The sequence below is a fragment of the Homo sapiens genome, chromosome 1, assembly GCF_000001405.40.
Source record: "Homo sapiens chromosome 1, GRCh38.p14 Primary Assembly".
Lineage (NCBI taxonomy): Eukaryota > Metazoa > Chordata > Mammalia > Primates > Hominidae > Homo > Homo sapiens.
The window spans coordinates 66,590,425-66,613,958 of record NC_000001.11 but is presented as its reverse complement, the minus strand read 5'-3'; the positions used below and the strand labels follow the sequence as shown (position 1 = coordinate 66,613,958).

Sequence of the window (23,534 nt, the reverse complement as noted above, 5' to 3'; positions counted from 1 at the left end):
GCATCACTATCAGAAGATATCTTCATCTTCTCAATCAGTGGTCAGTAGAAAAGGAACCTGTTGAGCATCTATCATGTGCCAGAGACTTTTCTAACTAGAGATACAACATCTAATATTACCCTCTAATTATGTGCAATCAGAGACCAGTTACTAAAAGCCTGAAGCACTCTTTCCATTAGGTCACTGTTACCCACTTTAGTCATCTACTTATCAAAGGTGCGTATATGCATTATTGCGTGGTGTTTGAGGTGAAGAGTGACATGAAGATGAGGTTGCCAGGAGCCAATCATGCAAGTTTTAGAAAGTCAGGTTAAAGACCTTAGATTTTAGGCTGGGTGAGGTGGCTCACGCCTGTAATCCCAGCACTTTGGGAGACTGAGGTGGGCACATCACTTGAGCTCATGAGTTGGAGACCAGCCTGGCCAACATGGCAAAACCCCATTTCTACTAAAAATACAAAAAATAGCTGGGCATAGTGGTATGCGCCTGTAACCCCAACTACTTGGGAGGCTGAGGTGGGAGTATTCCTTGAGCCCAAGAAGCAGAGGCTGCAGTGAGTTGAGATTGCACCACTGCACTCCCTCGTGGACGACAGAGTGAGACTCTGACTCAGAAACAAAACAAAACACAAAAAAACTTAAGTTCTAAGTGGAATGGGCAGTCGTTGAAAGTACTAGAGAGGTAGACAAAGTAGAAGGACAAGAAAGTGACATCCTCTGATTTTTTTCCCTATCAGCAATGTCTATTACCTAGTGCCAGAAAACTTCAGGGAAATAGTAATTAATTTCTATAATACTTACTATGATAAGCTAAACAAATAGAGTGTTTTCTACAACACCAAAAGACAAAATTATATTGAGTATTGTTTTAGTGTTAAAAGTACTATGCTGTATACTTGTTTAAAAGCTAGCATTTAAATTATGATCTATATCTGAGTTATGAAATGCAAACTCTCCCTAACTAGAATATTTAATTTACCAGAACAGCTGAATACCTGAACAGTTTTTAACTCTTAAAAATTTTCTAGTTTTGACAGTAATAAGCCAAGTCTGAGTTTTTAGCACTTCAGAGTTTTCCAGTTGCTACAATATGTAAATATACCAATGTTGACAATCTTAATTGGGATTTAAACTAATTTAGAGACTTCTTTTTAAACCTCCGTAATTCCTGAACTCAAATCCTCACAGAGTTTTGTTACATTGCCAGTCAGACATGACATCAGATTTTAGCTTTACCACTAACTGTGTAATATCAAAAAAAATCATTTAATCTCTCAAGAATTCACATTCTATGCCTTCTTCACATGATTATTGTATTAAATGAGAAAATGGGTTTGGATATATACATCAAGTGCTACCCAAGCAAAAATTAATATCATTTATTGATATAATTATTATTACCATTTTAGTTGAGAGTTGAGAAATAGTAAACTGTCATAGTATACATCATATAAAAGTAAAGAGTCCAACCCATTTCAAATGGTAAGGTCTTTCTCTTCCTTTGTTAATACAGAAAGGGGAGGAAAATCCACATCTCTTCACAAACCATCCAACAGTATGCTTTCCGATTCCTTCTGTTATAGTTTGGATGTTTGTCTTCCACATCTCATGTTGACATTTGATCCCTGATGTTGGAAGTGGTGCCAGTGGAAAGTGTTTGGGTCATGGGTGAGGATCCCTCATGAATGATTTGGTGTCATTCTCAAAGCGGTGGATGAGTTTTCACTCTGTTAATTTCTATGAGAGCTGGTTGTTAAAAAGAACCTGGCACCTCCTCCCCTCCTCTCTCTTGCTTTCTCTCACCATGTGACCTCTGCACACACTGGCTTCATTTCATCTTCTGCCAGGAGTGGAAGCAGCCTGAGGTCCTCACTGGAAGCTGGTGCCGTGCTTCTTGTGCAGCCTGCAGAACCGAAAGCCAAATAAACCTTCTCTTTCTAAACTACCCAGTCTCAGGTATTTCCTTATAGCAACACAAGTGGACTAGGACAACTTCTGTTGAATAATACTGACTCTAAGATTCTGTAACATTTAATTTTCAGTAATCTATCAAGACAATCTAGTGTTCACATGAGGCATGTATAAACTAAAGCTGAATCTGTCATCTTCCTCCCCAGCCAGTTCTTTTGCCAGCGTTCCCTCTCCAAGTAAACTGGTGCCAACATCCTCCGAGATGCTCCATCCAGAAACCTAAGAAGTATCTTTGATTCTTTCTTTTCACAGCCAAACCATCAGAGAGTGCTGTTAGGTCTCTTTCTTGTGTCCATCCGATCTGTTCACATAGACTTCTCCCATCGCATGAAGCTATCACCTTTGAGATATGGCCTCCAAGATTGCCACGGAAAAGGAAGAGAATGTGAAGAAGTCACCTCAGATACTTTACCACTTCAGCCAGGAAGAGACAGAATTGTGCTATATACTGTTGGCCAGCAAGAGTTTGGCTTATGGACCATGTGGCCTCACCTACATGGGAGACACTGGAAACAAAGTCCCTGGCTGTGAAGCCACTCCCCAGCAACAGCTCTGCACTACACAGAAGAGAAGCTTGGCTCTTTGGAAGTCAACTAGCTGTTGTTTTTAAACCCCGTTATCCCTTCTCTGCAACCCTGAGCTCTACTCCCACATAATTAACTGGTTCTGCCATTTGCTACTTATGTTACTATGAATAAACTTATACTTCTCTCAGCCTCAGTATTCATATCCACAAAATGGATCTTATCTCACAGGTTAGCTATGAAGACTAAATAAATCATGCATTCAGAAACTTAGCAAAATCAATCACTTATCACATTAAATATTTTGGTTTTTTAATTTTTATTTTTTATTCCCATAGGTTTTTGGGGAACAGGTGGTGTTTGATTACATGAATAAATTCTTTAGTGTTGATTTCTTAGATTTTGGTGCATCCATCACCTGAGTAGTATACACTGTACCCAGTTTGTAGTCCTTTATCCCTCACCCCCCTCCCACCCTTTCCCACCGAGTTTCCAAAGTCCATTGCATCATTCTTACGACTTTGCATCCTTGTAGCTTAGCTCCCACTTATGAGTGAGAGCATACAATGTTTGATTTTCCATTCCTGAGTTACTTTACTTAGAATAATGGTCTCCAATTCCATCCAGGTAACTGCAAATGCCATTATTTAATTCTTTTTCATGCAATAAATATTTTTGAGAAATTGAATATGAATGTGAAATTTGACCCCAGGATAATCCTTAAAATCGATGGAATTAAAAAAAAAAAATCTATACTATGACTTACTGAATTCCTTTTTTCCCCTAAAGCTGATGGTTGAAGAAGACTTTAAAGTGTTTTGTTTCCTTCTCTTTCCTGCTAAAATCCTAATTTAAGCAAAAAGTTCCTGTTCTTGTATGGTGACTTTTAATCAGTTTCCACTGAAGGATTAGAAAGGGGCAATGATAAGACACAACTAATGGGTAGCTAAATTACATAACATCAGGTAAGAGATCAATGTCTGGTTCGGTAAGATGAGCAAAACTGAACTCCAGGGAAATTCAAACAACAGGCCCACAGCCACACAGAAAATTTTAGGGGAGCCTGGTCTCAAACTTTCATCCCTTTACTTCAGTTTGGTATGCTTTACCAACTTGCTTCATTAAATATGAGAGGTATATATGTGTAATAAGTAACTATATATAATCACATAGAAAAACAAATGTTGATATCTTTACCTAGAGAGAACACAAACTCATACCTAGTTTCTGTGGTACTCCAGCATATAGAGTAGCTTTAGTTTTTCTGAGTATGGTTTTTGTATCTACTTCTACACTAAATATATCTAATTATTTTCTAAATGTCTAGAACAGTGTGGTGAACCCTATTTGGCTGAATAGCATTACCTGAAAATCTGACTCACATTTCCAGTGACGCTAATAACTTTTTAGCTGAAATTTGGCTCAGCGTTTTGATTAAATTTTCTGTTAAGTGCTCTAAAAAGACTTTGAACTGACGAGATTGTAACTTCAAAGGCAGAAGGAAAGTAAAGGGTGACTTTAATAATGATGAAAAAAAAGCCCAGAATAAGATATCATTAGAAATGGGATCTCCAGAAAAGCCAAGATCCAAATGCCAAATCTGAATGAAGTTAATTGTGTGGTGCTCTCCACAAATGTATTTTGTTTTTTCTAAAATAGTCACATTTACAAGATAAATTATATGCTGAATTCAAAAGTTTGCTAGCATCCTAGTCAGGTTGGCCCAGATATTTCTCCTCTGAAACTCAGTTGAAACCAGAGGCTAGCTCTAGTCTCTTCTGTTGAGTTGCTAGTCATCTAAATACATCCATGCATCTTGTTCAGTTCTCCCATTTGGCTTAACTAGTGCAAACCTCTGTGATTTCGCAGAATTCAATCTGTTATGAAGTCACCAGAACACAGAACTCCTTACTTGGTGTGGCATTAGGACCTGGTCTGATGTATTTCTCCAGTTTTATCTGTCACAGTAACTCTAAGCACTCCACTCTGAAACCAAACAAAAATTCTTTCTATTCCCTAAACAAGTCTGCACATTTGTGCTCTACATATTTGCTTCTGTTTGGATGACTCTCTCTTTGGATGACTTTGTCTTCAAACTATGGCCACAGAAACCTTCCCCTTCCCAAGCTGGCTCAGAAATGGCCCACTATACCTGCCGGAAGTTGGATTTCAAAATGGATATTTTTCCCTTTCTTCCAAATTTCACTTAAGACTTCATTATAAAACTTCTCAAATTTTGCCTCATATTACAGTTTACATTGTCTTTGTTCTTTTAGATTTTAAGCCAATTGAAGGCATTCGTTTTATCTCATTCATCTTGTGCCCATTGGTGATCCTAGTTCAGTGTCCTGACTGCAGATGGAACATTCACCATACTGAGAAGAGGGCTCCAAGCCAAGCAAAGGCTCAAGTGTCAAAAGTGACCTTCATCCCTGTGGGATATAAGTGACCTTCATCCCTGTGGGATATAAGTGACCAAACCAGGAGCTTTTAAATTAAGACTTCCTCCATTACTGAGAAAAAAAACCTCGACTAAATACTTACTTGCTAATCTACACTTGTAAAAGAGCATGTATCATACATACAGCAAACACCCTAAAAATACAGCAAAGTAAATGAAGAAGCAGAAGGAAAGGTGAGATAAGGCATGGCGAGTCCATACAACACTGAAGAGACCCTCACACTCTCACTCAGTGCCTCCTCCCGTTTTAAGGTCAGCGAAAATCTTGTTAATCTCTTTTCCAGACTAGAAAAACAGCAGAAAATCAGAATGAGCCAAGGGGGCAAAGTTAAACATAAGTATTAATGGGAGCTGCCAGAGGGGAAATGAAACATCATATACTTCAGAAAACCAGAGAGCTTTTATCTTTAGGCCAGCAGCCCGAAGCAGAACAACAGTGTCTGGTAGCTCTGCTGAATTATAGCACAGTGTGTTAATTGATATTCTAAACAATGATCAATGTAAAAAGCGCTTTTAAAATGGTTTAAAATAGTTACAAAAATGTAACTTTTCATCATCAAAATATAGGTCAAATTATGTGTAATTATTTTTGCTTAAGAAATGTATTAGCAAGAATATATATACACATATTACAGATTAGAAATATTATCATCAGATATGAGGTTTTAAAAGGATACATCTTAATCTCCCAGAAAATAAGATTCTGTGAAATAAGAAGAGCTAGCTGTAAGCTAGCATTTATTAAATGCCTGCCATGTACTTTTCATGCATTATCACATGAAACTCACAGTACTACACTGTGAAGTGGGTGTAATCATCTCCACTTTGCAGATGAGGAAGACCTCTCTGAGAAGTCCTGCAATTTGCCAACATGGCATGGATAGATAGTGATGAGCCTGGGTCACATTTGGACTCTTGGAAACCCAAGGCCAGTATTCTTGCCCCATTTTCACGCTGTCTGGATGGGTGGATGAGGAGTGGGCATCTGGGGTACACAATGCCTTGACCATGTACACGCTGAACTCAGCTCACAAGATCTTTGGTGATCCCCGCATGCTTCCCCTATTCTCCTCTCCCAGCACTCCTGGGAACATCTGCTCTATCTGGTCTGTTCTGTCTGATCTACTCAGTTTTCTTGCTAGTGTTGTTATAGAGAAAGAAATTTAAATGAAGAGAGAAAATAAAAAGCAATAGAAAGAACTGTCAGTGATGGCAAATGGGAACCAAATATCCCCTTTCCACCAAGTGCTAACTTTTTAAGTAGGCTTCACCTCTAAAGCATATGAAGAGGCCAGTTGTCAGGCATCTTTGTGGAGGGTGTCCCCTGGTGGTGATGGTGTAGGGGGGTGGGGCATTACTCTAGACCTTTCGGAGAATCCCCTGTCACAGAATATATCCAGCCAGAGGGCAAGGGGAAAAGCAGTACTGTTTCTATCTCTGAATTGTCAGTTTTTATTTTAGTGACAGAGTGACAAAGATGACTTCTGGTTTTTCACTTCAAATACTTTCAGCCATCAATTTCCAGCCAAACCCACTCCACCGCTATGGTGCATCCTCTGTCATTCAGCTAGTGGCCAATGGTGGGCCACATCTGACATAGCTTGCTGTTCATGTCTGCCTGAGACCACACCCCAGTGTCTAGCAGGTTTTATTTATAAATAATGCATATGCAAGGATACTGGGCTACCTGAACACTGTGGGTGATAAAACTCCAAGTCCTGGTTCCTTGTCCTCGAGGCACTTTTCATTTGAGATAACTAAACAGTGTTTCGTTTTTGAAATATGAGAGAGTGAGGAAAAGTTTATGGTTAGGAGAAGAGTACTATAAACTCAAGCATGTTTCATCAGCAATTAAGAAACAACTTGGAATGCCTGCTCGAATTCTGTTATTGAGAATCAAATGTAGTAAAATTCCTTTTACAACGTAGTACAGTTCACAGAAACAGTGCATGGCTCCAATCCCTTTTTCATCAGGGTATGTCTTTTAAGATTCTAGGAAAAACATATTCATGAACATGGTATGATAAGTCTTACACCATATAGCAGTGACTCTTAATCTCTTTTTGGTCACAAACTCCAGTGAGAATCTAATAAAAGCTATAAATCCTCTCATAAAATACAGGCAAGAACATATCTACTAATCCGTGTATAACATTCCTGGGAGTTTACAGGCTGCCTAAATGTATCCACAAACCCCAACTTAAGTCCCTCACTCTGTAGGAACTCAATATATATAGTTTTTGCATTAATGTGTAAAAACAGTGAATGATAAATTATCTTGGCAGAGACAACCCAGCTATGCTGAGCATTATGATGACTCTTCGTCAGATACTAAATGAGCTGCTTAACACCTTGGAAGGAATCAGAGCCTGAGTCAGGCTTAGAATACACAGTATCTGTTTCTGGACTCATGATGATGGATGCTGTAAATTACAGTCAATCAGCCAAGCCCTCTGTCATGTCTCCCTCATGGAACCTTCTTATTTTTCCTCTGGCTGGTCTAGTCATCCATCTGTTCCTATTACACAGCCACCGTGCTTTTGCTGGACCTGCAGCTTTCAAAGCTGAATAGAAGGAGAAAAAAACCCAAACCAGTTATTTCAGAAGCAGAAATAGAAATAAAGAGCTTGGTCATTACCAATGATGATAAAGGAAGAAACAGACATAGTTCCTACTGTGTGCTAATTATTTAATACAATGCTAAACCCTTTCACATACCTTGTCTTGTTTAATCCTTAAATCAATCCTGATGGATAGGTATTATCCATGCGCTTTTTACATGTGGGTAGCCAGAGGTTCTGAGAGATTAACTGACTCATGTAAGACCCCGTGGTGAATAAATGGCACTAAGATTTAAACATATTTGAGCTTGACTACAGGCCTAGTATTTTTTCCTACTACATAATGCCTATTTTTAAAAAATCTGGGACTTAAGTTCATGCTTCCTATATTTTGAAATTATCTATGTCTAAGACACCTCAGATCTTCCCCAGATGAAAAGATGTGCATGGAGGGAGAAAAAAGGTGACTTGTACCTTCTAGAATACTCAGGTGAATTCCAACATCGAGGTTAGGTGGTCTTGGCTGAACCGCGAAGCAATCGAAACTTTACCTGGAAAACTGGGCCTCAGTCCGGGAGCGTTCAGACTCACACTGCCTTTTCTCTCAAGACACGGCTAATTGAACCACAGACATAATCAGTGGTATTGAGCAATAATGCTAAAACGTTGTATCCTCTTTCCATTCACCCTCAGACACCAAATTAGCCTTCACCTACATGTCCTTCTGGATCAAAAATAAAAACCTTGATGAACGGTCATGACAAAAATACCAGCTTGTTTTGGGCTATAAAGGGGTTGTGAGTCATTGTTTGGGCTGTGTTTGTTAAGGGCTCTGAGACACACTAGATAGCGCAGTAGTTTTGTGACATCCAGACTGCCTCCTCTCATACACCTTTAAAACACAGTTTGATATAATGACTGAGGCATCAATCCCCTTAATTCAAGTATCCAGGTTAAAAACAAAGCCACATCACAATTCTTTAGGAAGATGACTTGGGGGTGTCACATCTCTCTTTTCTGCCTTGACAACTCCCCCTTTATAATTTTTTAAATTTCTCTACCCCTTAAGGGAGGTACCTGGGGTAAGGTAAGGGGCTTTATCTGGGAATTACTGCCATAGAGCAATTGGCTGGTCAGATGAAAAGCCTTTAATGTCTACTCAGAGGATGTCTCCCAAAGTCATACACAGAAGGATGAAATGGATGCTGTGTATGAATAACTAAAAATATTTGCTATTTGTAAATAACACTAAATAAGAAGAAGACAGTGACAGGAGATGGGGCTAAAGGGTCAGGTCATGGGGGTCCCTTTGTTCCATGGAAGTGGCTTGGACTTCATGTTGAAAGCCCCTGGGAAGCAAATGTAATGTTAGTGAAACATTTATGGGGTTAGATTTGTACATAGCAGGGAAGATGAAGTGAAGAGCAAAGACTAGACATAAGGAGACCAGTTTAGAGAACATGGTGACTATTTAGTCAAAATATATGATGGGAGCCCTAAAAGAGGACAGTGCTATAGAAATGGAGAAGTAGAAAAATAGTGGATTAAAGAATTATTTAGGAGATAAAGTAGGAAAAACTAAGTGAATGATTGGATGTTGGCTTGAGGGAGCGGAAAGAACTCAAAATGATTCACAGTCAGAAGTAAGGGGCTACAGGTTGACCAGAGAAGACTGAGATGTCTCAGACTGTACAAACAACCAGTTAACCCACTGCTGATCCAATTCAGTAACTCACATTTTTACAAAGTGGTGATAGTTTGTGAATTGGATATTCATTACATCACATACTTCATCATCCCAACCATCCTATGAGATAAGCATTATTTTGTCTATTTACCATTGGATGAGAAAATGGGTTGAGAGAAAGTTAAACGGACTTGGTCAAGGTCACATAACAAAGCAATGGTAGAGTGAGGGTTCAGATTGAAGTTTACACAGCTTAATGTAGAAAACGACTTTTAAAAAATTTAAACCATATAAATTGTCCATTTTGACTCTTTTGGTATTTTCACGTTATTTGACTTGGTAGTATGCTATGTTGTTTCTCTGTGGAGGAATCTCATTGTCTGAGACGACCATGATGGAAATGCTTTTTCATTCATTATTTCGGCATCTTCCTTTTGCTGGTGCATTCTAGTGGTTTCTTGCATGGAATATTTTGCTACATTATGAGACGAAACTCAGAACTCTGGTAATAAACCCAAGGGATGAGAAATTAAGTAACTTCTTTTATCGGTAGAAACATGTCCCTCCCTCCCCAGCACTTTTTCTTCTTAAACATCTCATCATATTTAGCATATCTTAGAGATATTTTTCCAGAGACAGATCCTACCTATTTCACCAGGTTACCATGAAAGTGAAATAAGCTAACACATATAACGGGGATTCATAAACTATAATGTGCTGCCCAACACATATTTCTGTGTTGTTATTCTCTGATCAATTATGGAATAAAAGGAAAGAAGACAAAACACTGTAGTCCATATCCTCTGGACTCTTTTCCGATTCTTAGTATATTCCCTCCACTAACACATTCCAAAGTTCATCTGAAGTTGATAAAGCAGCTAGGTGTTGATTATATCTAGCTATTTAAAATGAAAACAAAATACTCCATAGCAACTTTTGTTATTAAGATATTGGGGGAAAGTTGGAAAGTAATTGTTTAGACATAGATCTATCAAAGATAATAATCTTAACCACACTTAGATTGGTCTCTTTTTCTAACTAATTTATTCTTCCATTCTAGACCTTGCTTTAATCATTTTGCTTAAAAAAATTAGGCTTTCTACCCTGAGAATTTATATTAAGCTTTTAATCAAGCATCTCTCAATGTGTTTCATAGCTCTTAATGTGTTTCCAGTACAGTGTGTGGTCTGTGTGATCGGTTCTAGATTTATATTTCTGATGCTGTATCAGAAGCAATACAAGTGAATATTCTAATTCTAGTCCTTTAGTTTCAGTTAAAAAATTCTTTAATTCTTTATAATATATGAAACCATTGAGAAAGCATTGTTTGCTCATTTTTAAAATGAAAATTTAACTTTGTGGATCACTAACATAGATACTGTCCAAATTCTGTCACTCAGAAAGTATGGGATTTGATATATAATTCTTACATAGGATGTGATTTCTATATAACCCTAGTACACATCTAATGCTTATTAAATAAAAATCTCTACTTGATAAGCACCATGAAAGAACTGAAATAAGTTTTTTTCCATAAATAGCCTGAGAAACTGTTAATACCTTGTCCTCAAAAACTGAACATTCTATTTCTTTCTCTTTCTCCAAGACAAATGCTTGTCAAAAAGCATTAGCTTAACATTTATCATCTATTTTAGGACTGATTCATTTAGGCTTCACCTACTTGCAGGATGTATAAGGTGAACTTTCTTATATCTTTCTTCTAATATATATTTGAAAGGCAGAGAAAACAAGAACAAAAACAAACCCCATTGTTTCCCACAGGTAATAACTAGAGCACAGAATGTTATTTTCTTTCAGAGAGGCCAAAGTTTTAATTGAGGGCTTAATTTCCTAACATTTCTAAAAATTTATGTAAAATATTCTTCCTAAGTTCTAGGAAATTTCTGGTATTGCCATGAGCTAAATGTGCAAACTTACTACAAGAAAAGAATCTCTCTTTTTAGACATCTAGTTATTATTAGTAATTTTCGAGGTGAGCCAGGAGAGAGCATTAGATATATCTTTACGTTAGTATCTTGCACCTGTAGGGCTTTTGACTGTTTTGGGGCTTTTACATACAGTATTTCTTTTTATTTATTTATTTATTTATTTATTATTATACTTTAAGTTCTAGGGTACATGTGCACAACGTGCAGGTTTGTTACATATGTATACATGTGCCATGTTGGTGTGCTGCAACCATTAACTCGTCATACATCCAGTATTTCATTTGTTCTCCATAACAATCATGGCAGGGAGGCAGATCTTACCACCATTCTCTAGAAGAAGTTCCCGGGGTTCAGAAAGCCCAAATCAGAAATTACCCATCATGGTCACATGTGGATCATGCAGGGAGCTTTTAAAATGTTCATATTTCCATCATAATTCTTGGATTGAGGCCCAGGAATTTATACATTAAAAAGGTCTCCAGGCGATTCTAAGGCAACTGCTCCATGGCTCAGTATTTGGGAAGCTCAGGTCACATGGGTCGAGTTTCAGGTCTCTCAAATCCTATGACAAGGTTCTTTCTGTCACCCACCCAAACTTTGAATCTTTCAGATCTATTATTTGGACTTCAAATTTGGATCTATTTGGACTTTCAAGCTTTTCTAGTAGAAAATCCCAGGGGTCTGAGAGGCCAATGTTCTGCTTTCTCCAGATCACTGATTCTCAGCTTAATGAAGTCTCCTCTATGTACACCTGATGTTAGCAGCTCCTTGGTCTGTATGTAAAGGAATTAGGCAGATATGTTTGGGACATTGCATCAGAAAGGTGAGGTCTACAGAGAAAGGGATCTATGTACTAATTTAGAGATATTGCTTTACTAATCTGTAATTAGGAAAAGCTTTCTGAATCAGAATGAAAGTTGAACTAAATTAGTATTTTTCAAACTGCAGGCAACAACTCATTAATCAGTCAGGAAATCAATTTACAGGGTCTTGACAAGCATTCTAAAAATGAAATTGAATGCGGTAAAAAAAGTAGGGCTCCTTACATACAGGAAGAATAGGTATTTTAGTTTGTTTCTGCTTTTTTTTGTAAAATACTTCACTTTTGATTTTTATATGTGTATCTGTATTCTGGGTCCAGTGGAACATGTTTTCATTACTGTGGGGGTTAAGTAAATAAATTTTTGAAAACACTGGACTAGATCATTTAGCTTTCTTCTCATTATAGATTGTTAGGATTCTATTCTATTCTTTTCTCTCTCTCTCTCTCTCTCACACACACACACATGCACATACTCAAAAACAAATAACCCCTCCCCAACTCTGACAAAAATAATGGACAGAGAAAACTGTGTAAGTTTTCTGAAGCACTATAAAGGTTGCTTTTAGCAGAATCTTTTTACTTCTTTTGTTTTTGTTTGTTTGTTTGCTTGTTTGTGTTTGGGACGGAGTCTCTCTGTGTCGCCCAGGCTGGAGTGCAGTGGCGCGATCTCGGCTCACTGCAAGCTCCGCCTCCCAGGTTCACGCCATTCTCCTGACTCAGTCTCCCGAGTAGCTGGGACTACAGGCGCCCGCCACCACGCCCAGCTAATTTTTTTTGTATTTTTAGCAGAGACGGGGTTTCACCGTGTTCTCCAGTATGGTCTCGATCTTCTAACCTCTTGATCCGCCCGCCTCGGCCTGCCAAAGTGCTGGGATTACAGGCGTGAGCCACCGCGCCCGGCCTTTACTTCTTTTGAGTAGGACCAGCATGTGTGTACTGGAAAGCGAAGCACTACAATCTGTGTTCATGTGGAGAAGTCGTTTAGACTAGTAGGAAAAGGTTTGAGCACTAAAGCACCACAAATTTTCAAAAACGAGTCTAAATTAGTAAGGTTTCACCATGTAAACAGTGTTTACTAAACACCATCCCAAGAGATCCTTCCTGTTTTTGGTATCTTACCTGTTCCAAGCTACTCTACACACTATTGGTGGAATGAGTTTTCTAGTTTGCAAACCTAATCATGTCATGCCCCTGCCTAAAATCAGCACATTTTCTGGTAAAACCCACAGGCTTGCATGGCTTAGGGGACCACTTATTATCATGACCTAATCTACCCACTGGCTTTACTGGTTGCTCTCTCTCTGACACTTCATAGTCCAGTAACATTCAACCACTTGCATCCTTTCTAATCGCGCACTGTTTCAGCCTCTCGTTTCTGAGCACACTCTTCTCTCTGCTCTGAATTCCCTTTCTCACATGTTCACCCAGCAAAACTCCTACTTGTGCTTCGGGATAAAACATAATCATCGCCTTCTCTATGTACGTTGCCTTGGTAGCATCCTTTAGGTGGAACTCGTTATTCTTTCCTTGCTGCCACCATCAGAGCTTGTAAATGCCTTATTATGACAACTACCACGAGTGTGACTTTTCATTGACATGACTTCCATTTCTAGGAGGGGGGTCTCTGTGCTAGTTCCCCTTTGAATCCCTAGTTTCTAGCAGAATGGTAGAACAAACGAAAGCTATTCAAATTGAAAAAAGATTCGACCTTGGATAAGAATTTTTGTTTAAATGTGAGTCATAATCACACAACTTCGGTAATGAATTTTCTTTAAAAAATTAAATTTCTATAAACCTATTGAAATGAGCCCAAAGGCACAAAGGCTGACTGTTTAACGTGCTGTTCATAAGGCTGCATGTTAAATGCCACTGAACAAAGGCAAAGCAAAAACTCACTGAGCCCGAGAAAGCTGTGTTTTAAATACCCATTACAGTGGAGACCAATGTGTCAAACCTTGTAAAGGTTCTATCAGCATTCATTGGACCTTGGGTTTTAATACTGCCCGCCCCTCTGGGTTACAAAGATGGTATCAGGGATCATTTCTGTGAAGGCTGAAGGGAAAATCTAGACTCTCTTTAGTGTTCAATTGGAGTTCATCAGGTTGAAAATAGATCCCAAGTGTCCAATTCCCTGAAATGCAGGATCAGCCATCTAGCCACAGGAAACCCGAGGAGAGGGTAATATTCTCTGTAAGACCTCACAGCCTCCTCGGTTACAGGAGCCTAAAGTTGTTTTAATATTGTTTTAGCATTTATTCAGACTGAACAAAAATCCTCAGTCATAGTATTTTGTACATTTTCCTCGTATACTCAAAATCAAGTGGGGCAGCTATTAAGGCAGCATAAATACACCCGTAGTTAAATAAGATGTGTAGCATGGAAGTCTATCTTTTCATACTGTACATTCAGACTCAGAAGAGAGAAGGCGTGGGAGGATTTGGAGAGAGAGTACAGCTTTGTAAAAGGGATTCTCCTGGGAGGAGAATCAGGACACCAGGATTTTGTTTGTTTTATTTCTGCCTCTGACTTGCTGTGAATTTTTAGGCATGTCACTTAGCCCCTGTAGCCCCAGTCACCTACCAGTGGTGTAGATTTGGGCAAGTCACTAAAACTCTGTAAATCTCAATTTCTTCAAGTATAAAATTAGGCTGATTATACCTATCTTATGGGATTTTATGAGGAGTAAATGAAATAACATGATGAAATATGCTCCCCTATGCCCTAGGACAGAGGTTCCCAAATTCATTTGATGTTTAAGTAATATTTTCATAAAACAGAAATACCTAACAGTTTCATTCATTAAGTAGTTAGGTTCGAGTAACTTGAGCATTTATGTCCTTAATAACTTAGTAGTTGTTTGAAAAAATACACATAAATTGAAAGAAAAATAACAACCGAATTGTATTTTTAACTAACCATAATTATTTACTAATGAGGGGTATGTTGCTTGCTGAGCCCTGGGTAGAACACTGCCTTCTTCATTTCTCATTCTACATTTTTCTGTACATTTTTTCTACATTTTGGACTGTGCTTGCATTTCATCCCAGTAAGCCTCTAAAACTCGGCTTTGCAAGGATATGACATCATCTAAAGGAATGTGGCATGGTAATATGGTTTGGATTTGTGTCCCTGCCCATATCTGATGTTCAGTTGTAATCCCCAGTGTTGGAGAGGGAGCCTGGTGGGAGGTGATTGGATCGTGGGGTCGGAGTTCTCGTGAATGGTTTAGCACCATCTCTTCGGTGATGTTCTGGTGATACTGAGTTATTATGGGATCTGGTTGTTCAAAAGTGTGTGGCACCTCTGCGCCACCTTTCTTCCTCCTGCTTGGCTGTGTCAAGTGCTGGCTCCCCTTTCACATTCAGCCACGATTGTAAGTTTTCTGAGGCTTCCCCAGAAGATGCTGCCATGATTCCTGTACAGCCTGCAGAACCGTGGGCCAATTAAATCTCTTTTCTTTATAAACTACTCAGTCTCAGGTATTTCTTTATAGCACATGAGAACAAACTAATACACGTGGCCAGAGGTTGAAAGTGTGAAGTACCTTAAGCTCATTCAGCATCTGACAGATTTCACTTCGTTTTCCTGGGAAATTTAAAGCATTCCAAAGCTAAAATTTAAATTAGGCACACAGTTGGGAAACTGTGGCTCTAACACAGTAGGTACTCAGGGGCTTTGAAGTAGATGAATTATCTCTTTCAGGTAAACCATTCTATGATGTGTTAGTTTTTATTGCTTTCCTTATACTAGTCTGGATAGAGTACATGTAAAGAAAATAAATTAAAATCACCCATTTCTCTTGCTTTTGGACTAAAAGACCCCTTTACTATCAAATCAAGTAACTAGTGTCAGCATCTAGATACTGATAATCTTTAACACTTAAGGTTGCTACTTTAATTGTTGGAAAAAGGGACAAATGCCTTTTTAAAAATATATACTTGCCCAGGAGAACTCATTTTTCTCCATGCTGGCCAGTTGTGTTCCCTTTCTGCTTGAACTATATAGGACTTTAAAATCTGTTCACAGTTTACCAGCTGTATATGGTACTACTTTTTCAGTAATGTTGTATTTTAATGCAAAATTACTCAATTTGTCGACTTTTTGTTTATGCAAGCTAAAAACATTCAGCAAGCATGTGAATCTTGCTTAGAAGAGGTGAAACTGGGAAAGGAAACAAAACGTTAATGCGTAAAATCCTTTTTACTTGGCATGGACAGGGGATAGAGTACTCTAGAAAGTCCCATACTCTGAGAAGGAGAATTAGTACCTAAATGCTGACTCGGGGGTTCCATCTTGTGTCAATGGCAACTTACTGTTAATGGCTACCTTGAGTGTGTGTTGAGAAGGATTCTGAGGAAGTAAGATCTTCAGAAAATTCTGTGCAATGATCAATCTGATGTCTGTCATAGACTGGAGAATCAGGGCTAAGTGGAAACATACTTGCTGCATGTTTGCCATCTCTGGCTGAAAATATATAGTACTGCAGAATACTCCCCCTACCTCCCATTTTTAAGGGGACAAAAGCACCAGATCTCACTTTTGCTTAGTTATTTTACAGTTTCATATTAAAACAGAAAATAAAACAAATAGCATAAACATTCTGTCAAGTTTTAAATAAGGTGCTCAGGCTAATAGAATGTTGGATAAACAGTTTTCTGTTATAGAAGACCAAATACTGCATGTTCTCACTTATAAGCGGAAGCTAAATGAAGAGAACTCATGAACACAAAGAAGGGAACAATAGACATTGGGGCCTACTTCAGGGTGGAGGTTGGGAGGAGAGAGAGAAGCAGAAAAAGTAACTATTGGGTACTAGGCTTAGTACCTGGTTGATGAAATAATCTGTACGAACCCCTGTAATATGAGTTTACCTATACAACAAACCTGCATATGTACTAAATAAACCTGCACATGTACTAAAATAAATTTTTTAAACCAGTTTTCTGTTATAATATTGATAAGTCAGGCCAGATGAGGGAGTAAATACATCTTTGGGGACTGTCTTCAAAGTAAAAATATTACAAAATTTTAAGAATACAGCTACCTTGAGTTTGAAAATATTTGAGCAGCAGTCTTTCCTATTTTGAAGGAATAATTGCCTTTATTTGATACTCAATTGAAATAGATGCAATTGCAATTCTTGAAATGCTCATTGCAGATCTTTTAAAAAATATTTTGAGATAATTGTAGTTGTAAGAAATAATAGACCCCACATACCCTTCACCCAATTTCCTATTCCAGTGTTAACATCTTGTACAATATCACAATCAGGAAATTGACATTGATACTTAGAGTGGCAGAAGGCAGCCAAATGCCTAGGCTGATAGGGGCAGGTTCCCAGTGAAATCCCACCACCAAGCAGAAGACAGTTTAAAGCCTGAAAGTTAAATCCTTGGACCAGATTGAGAACTTATCTTCCCCTTTGATGTGCTTTCCTCTGATCTGTTTCCACCTTTCACCTATTTTACATATACCGACCCTTTCCTAATTGGTTTTTCTACACTGTTGTGCCCACATCTGAGTGATGTCTTTGCTTTACCCTGTCAGCATACTCACAAACCAATCAGCACACACTCCCCATTCTGAGCCCATAAAAGGTCCCAGACCCAGCCACACAGGGGACTTTCCTGCCTTCTGGTAGGGGAACCACCCCACCCACCCTGCATCCCCTCTCTGCTGAGAGCTGTTCCATCACTCAATAAAATTCTTTTCTGCCCTCTTTATACTTCAATGTCCAACATATCCTCATTCTTCTTGGGCGTGGTACAAGAGCTCAGGAACTGCTGAATGTGGGTACAAGCTATAACATTGGTTAGCTGGGGCACGCCAGCTGCCTTGCAAAGTGACTGAGAAGAAAAATCCTGCATCAATACAATACACCCACCTATTCAGATTTCACCTGTTTTATGTGCACTTGTGCACTTGTGTAGGTTTGTATTTTAAATGTGATTTTATAACACATGTAGATTCTTTTGCTCACTACCATAGTCAAGCTACAGAACAGTTCTATTAAAAGGATTCCTTGTGCTGCCCTTTAATAGTCATGGCCACCTTCCTCCTCCCCCTCCTCAAACCACTGGAAGCCACTAATCTCTCTTCCATCTCTCTAATTTTGTCATTGCAAGAATATGAACAAATGGACTCATACAGTATGTACCATTTTGAGATTCGCCTTTTCAACACAACATAATGCCCTTGAGATAGATCCAGTTTGTTGTATACATCTGTATTTCATTCCTTTTATCACTAAGCAATATTCCATAATATGGATTCCATATTATGGCTTGTTTAATTAATCACTCTTAATGCACATTTTATGAAAAGGTCAGAAAAGCTAGTAAATGGAAATGTTAAAAGCACAAGCTCCCTTACATGCACAAAACCTGAGAGTGGAACTCAGGAGTTCACCAATATAACTTTTATCTTTATCTGCTCATGTTTTGTGAGGTTGTGGAAGGTTTGAAAGTTATCACCCTTATTATGGTGAAAACTTGATTAATAGAAACAGCACACTGATGAGAAATAATATGTTTTCAGCTATAAGCAGGGACTGATGACTTCTTTGTGGCCTATTCCCCGGATCACAAATACATTTTACTTCCAGTAAAAAGTATGAGCCATTGGTAGTGGCTGCCTGGAGGTCAGTGATGAGAAGAATTTGGAGGGTGAGTTCAGGCTCAGCAGGAAGAGAACCCAGTTGACACTTGATGTCTGCCACAGGCACTGGCAAAGATATTGCCACATCTGTACCAGCTGTTTGTTAACAGTGGTGTTAACAGAGCTAAAGAAAGGTCATGCCAGCTGAAAAGCCAATGATCAGCACGAAGTGTATGAAAACGATATTTAGCAAAACAAATCTGATAAATGTGTCTTTAGCATGGTTCAGGTGAGGAGCTCCCAGTAAACAGCGTGCCCCTGGAAAATTTGTCTCTGTAGTGTGAAAGGATGGCTCAAGCCAGGAACTCCTTCATTACAATCTCCTGATTCCATTTTAGTCTGACTCCACACACATCCAGGAAACATCTCATTCTGAGAGAGAAAGCACCCACCAAAGGAGCGAAAAATATTTTCTTCTCCTAATATTTGAGTGTTTAGAAAGTGACAAGCAGAGTGGTAATGCATTTTCTATACATTACCTCATTAAGTCTCCCACAATCTTGTGAGGTTGGGTCCTATCATTATCCCCATGTATAGATGAGGACTGAGGACTTGAGAATATCAGCAACCCACCCAAGCTAGGAGAGGGATGCCCTCAGTGTGCGTCTCCACTGCCGCTCTTTCTCCTTGGCCTTTTCTTCCTTAGTACAAGTTAATAAACCGGAGTTTATTTTATATTCAAATCTTTATATGCAAATCTCTGGTGAGTCTGGGCCGCATGACTGCTCCCACATTCCCAGAGCCTGCTCATCACTGAGCACTGGCAAAACCAAGTACCTGGATCTCCAAGGCTAAGGGCCAGACCTGGGAAATAGAGACCCAAGTGAGTTTTCTGAAGCCACTTTGCTTAGTTGTGAACCAACCTTCCTAAACCACACTCTTCTTCATCACACTAACAAACCACTGAACAAATCTCATCACAGATGATAAAACTACTGAAAAAAAGTTATATTTACAGGGTAAGAAAGTAAGTTAATGTTAATAACAATATGTCTAATAGTTGAATTGGAACAAGTTTCCCAAGGAGACCTACAAGGAAATACAAAGAAATAATTTGGGGGACTAAATAAGTGTTAAGAATTTTAGATAGGTACACACCTTTACATTAAAATGAAAAAAAGTTTATATTTTTTTCCTTTCACATAGCTGTTTATTCCCATTATAATACTCTATGAACAACTTTTGTTCTTACTTCTAGATTTTATGGCTACCAAAATATTTAAAAATTTCTAAACTTATACTCACTTTCCACTTTATAACTTTAAGTTGTGAAGAAAGAAAAACACACTCTTGTTATTGGTTAACCATGAATAATAGTCTTATTTCATTTCTTGTAATATTATTCATTAAGAAACATTCAATGCTAATCGGAATATGTGTTCTATTCTTTAAGAATATTATTAGATAAATATTCTTTAAAGTATGTTGGAATCTCTTAATCTTATTTAGAAAAACAGGAAATATAAGAGATTTTTTTAAAAAGAAAAACTTGGCAAGTTACAGAGCAAATGAGGACCCGAAATGGGCCGCAGCTGGGTTTGTTTTTATATCTTTTTTGGTGACAGGGTCCTGCTCTGTTGCCCAGACTGGAATACATGAAGATCATGGCTCACTGAAGCCTCCACTTCCTGGGCTCAAGCAATCCTTCCACCTCAGCCTCCTGAGTAGCTGGAATTACAGGCATGAGCCCCTGTGCCTGCTAAGCTGGGTCTCTTTTTGACCTATCAAGGGAAATTCATTGTGCCTTGTAGCTCATACCAGTATTCCATGTTTTCTAAATGAGTAGAAGAGACCATTACAAGGGAGCTATGTGTCAAATCAGCCACATGTTGTAGTAAGTGCTATGACACAATTGACCATCAATCCATGTGAAAGGTAAACAGAATTGTAGAGCAACAGGGACTCTTATTCATTGCTAGTAGAAACGCAAAGTGGTACAGCCACTTTGGAAGACAATCTAGCAGTTTCTTATAAAACTAAACATACTCTTACTGAATGATCCAGCAATTGTGCTCCTTGGTATTTAGTAAAATGAGTTGAAAACTCTGTCCACACAAAAACCTGCACATGGACGTTTATAGCAGCTTTATTTATATTTGCCCAAACTTGGAAACAACCATGATGTCCTTCAGTAGGTGAATAAATGAATAAGCCATCGTACATCCAGACCGTGGAATATTATTCAGTGCTAAAAAGAAATGAGCTATCAAGCCAGGAAAAGACATGGAATAAGCTTAAATGCATATTACTAAGTTAAGGAAGCCAATCTGAAAAGGCTACATAGGCCAGTCACAGTGGCTCATGCCTGCAATCTTAGCACTTTGGGAGGCAAAGGTGGGAGGATCTTTTGAATCCAGGAGTTCGAGATCAGCCTGGGCAATGTGGTGAAACCCTTTCTCAAAAAAAAAAAAAAAAAAAAAAAAAAAAAAGAAGAAGAAGAAAGAAAGAAGGAAAGAAAGGAAGGAAGGAAAGGCAAGGCTACATACATACTGTATGATTCCAACTATATGAAATCGTAGAAAAAGTAAAACTATGAAGAAAATAGGAAGATTAGTAGTTCCAGGGGTAGGGTCAGGGAGGGAAATCAGAGCACAGCTTTTTAGGACAGTGAAACTATTCTCTATGATTCTATAATGGTGAATACGTGTTGTTACACATTTGCCCAAACCTATAGAATGTACACCACTAAGAGTCAATCCTAATGTAAACTATGAACTTTGAAGGAGAATGATGTGTCTATGTAGGTTTATAAATGTAACAAAGGTATCACTCCGTGGGGAAAAGAAAGAGAGATCAGACTGTTACTGTGTCTATGTAGAAAGAAGTAGACATAAGAAACTCCATTTTGTTCTGTACTAAGAGAAATTCTTCTGCCTTGAGATGCTGTTAATTTGTAACCCTAGCCCCAACCCTGTGCCCTCAGAGACATGTGCTGTGTTGACTCAAGGTTTAATGGATTTAGGGCTGTGCAGGATGTGCTTTGTTAAAAATGTGTTTGAAGGCAGTGTGCTCGGTAAAAGTCATTGCCATTCTCTAATCTCTAGTACCCAGGGACACAATACACTGCGGAAGGCCACAAAGACCTCTGCCCAGGAAAGCCAGGTATTGTCCAAGGTTTCCCCCATGTGATAGTCTGAGATATGGCCTTCATGGGAAGGGAAAGACCTGACCGTCCCCCAGCCCGACATCGGTAAAGGGTCTGTGCTGAGGAGGATTAGTGAAAGAGGAAGGCCTCTTTGCAGTTGAGATAAGAGGAAGGCATCTGTCTCCTGCTCGTCCTTGGGAATGGAATGTCTTGGTGTAAAACCCCATCGTGCATTCTATTTACTGAGATAGGAGAAAACCACCTTATGGCTGGAGGTGAGACATGCTGGTGGCAATACTGCTCTTTACTGCACTAAAATGTTTGTGTAAAGTCAGACATAAATCTGGCCTACGTGCCCATGGAGGCACAGCACTTTTCCTTAAACTTACTTATGACACAGAGATCTTTGCTCACGTTTTCCTGCTGACTGTCTCCCCACCATTACCCTATAGTCCTGCCACATCACCCTCACCTAAATGGTAGAGATAGTGATCAATAAATACTGAGGGAACTCAGAGACCAGTGCCCGCGCTGGTCCTCCCTATGCTGAGCGCCAGTCCCCTGGGCCCACTGTTCTTTCTCTACACTTTGTCTCTGTGTCTTATTTCTTTTCTCAGTCTCTTGTCCCACCTGACGAGAAACACCCACAGGTGTGGAGGGGCTGGCCCCCTTCACACTCTAATGGGGGATGTTGATAATGGGGGAGGCTGTGCATGTGTAGGGGCAGGGGATATATGGGAAATCTTTGTACTTTATGCTCAATTTTGCTGTGAACTTAAAAGTGCTCTAAAAAGTCTATTAAAAAGAAAAAATACAGTAAGCAGGACTGGAAAAAGAAGGAACTTTATCAAAATGAGGATGAGAAAGAATCTGTGTTCATCACCTAGATCATTCTAACGGGCTTATGTTGAGGCTAAGAATCAGATTCTTGGCCTAAACAAGGTACAATTATCTGAGAAAATTTTATTGTTAACAATTGGATCAAGATACCTTGTTAGCAGGAATATGGCATTGTTGGTGAAATGGTTTGGTAAGATATTTCCAGACCAAATTCAGAATGTGTAGAAAGGCTGTAGATAGAGGGAAGGGTCAGAGACCTCTTCTCACTCCTGCAGTAAGATGGTCAGTGCTCAACTGTACAGAAAAGTCAATGAACACAGACGATGTCAAGTTTACTGTGGGTGCATGATATAAAAATACCTCCATTGCCTTAAAAAATTTACATTGATCACTAATATGGAAATGTTGGTAAGAGTGGATATTTTGTTGGGGCAGTTTGAAAAGGAGGACAAGTGAGCCACTGACAGCTGGGCTACAGAAAGAAAATGTATTTCTCATTTTAAGAAATTCTGATATATGCCAGGTGCAGTGGATCAGGCCTGTAACTCTAGCACTTTGGAAGGTTGAGGGGGGCAGATCACTTGAGACCAGCCTGGGCAACTAAGGACACCCCATTTCTACAAAACATTGAAAAATCAGCCAAGTGTGGTGGTGCATACCTTTTCAGATTGGCTTCTTTCACTTAGTAATATGCACTTAAGATTCCTCTATGTCTTTTCCTGGCTTGATAGCTCATTTCGTTTTAGCACTGAATAATATCCTACGATCTAGATGTATCGGGGTTTATTCATTTACCTACTAAGGACATCATGGTTGCTTCCAAGTTTTGGCAAGCTACTTGGAGGCTGAGGCAGAAGAATCACTTGAGCCCAGGAAGTCAAGGTGGCAGTGAGCTAGGATCACACCACTGCACTCCAGGCTGGGCCACATCTCTGTAAAAAGTAAAAATAAAAAGTAAAATAAAATAAATTCTGATA

At 38.9% G+C, this 23,534-nt stretch overlaps 1 protein-coding gene and 1 long non-coding RNA gene across 56 annotated transcripts in view; both read right to left on the bottom strand.

Annotated features, from left to right (window-relative positions):
• The window catches only part of SGIP1 (SH3GL interacting endocytic adaptor 1), a 217,779-nt gene that overhangs the window by 137,181 nt on the left and 57,064 nt on the right, over window positions 1–23,534 (bottom strand). The window lies entirely within an intron of this gene.
• Window positions 1,364–20,244, bottom strand: LOC124904196 (uncharacterized). The gene is made up of 2 exons (XR_007066156.1): window positions 7,991–20,244; window positions 1,364–7,519 (listed from the first exon to the last, which is right to left on the bottom strand). It is a non-coding gene; the product is annotated as an uncharacterized LOC124904196 (long non-coding RNA).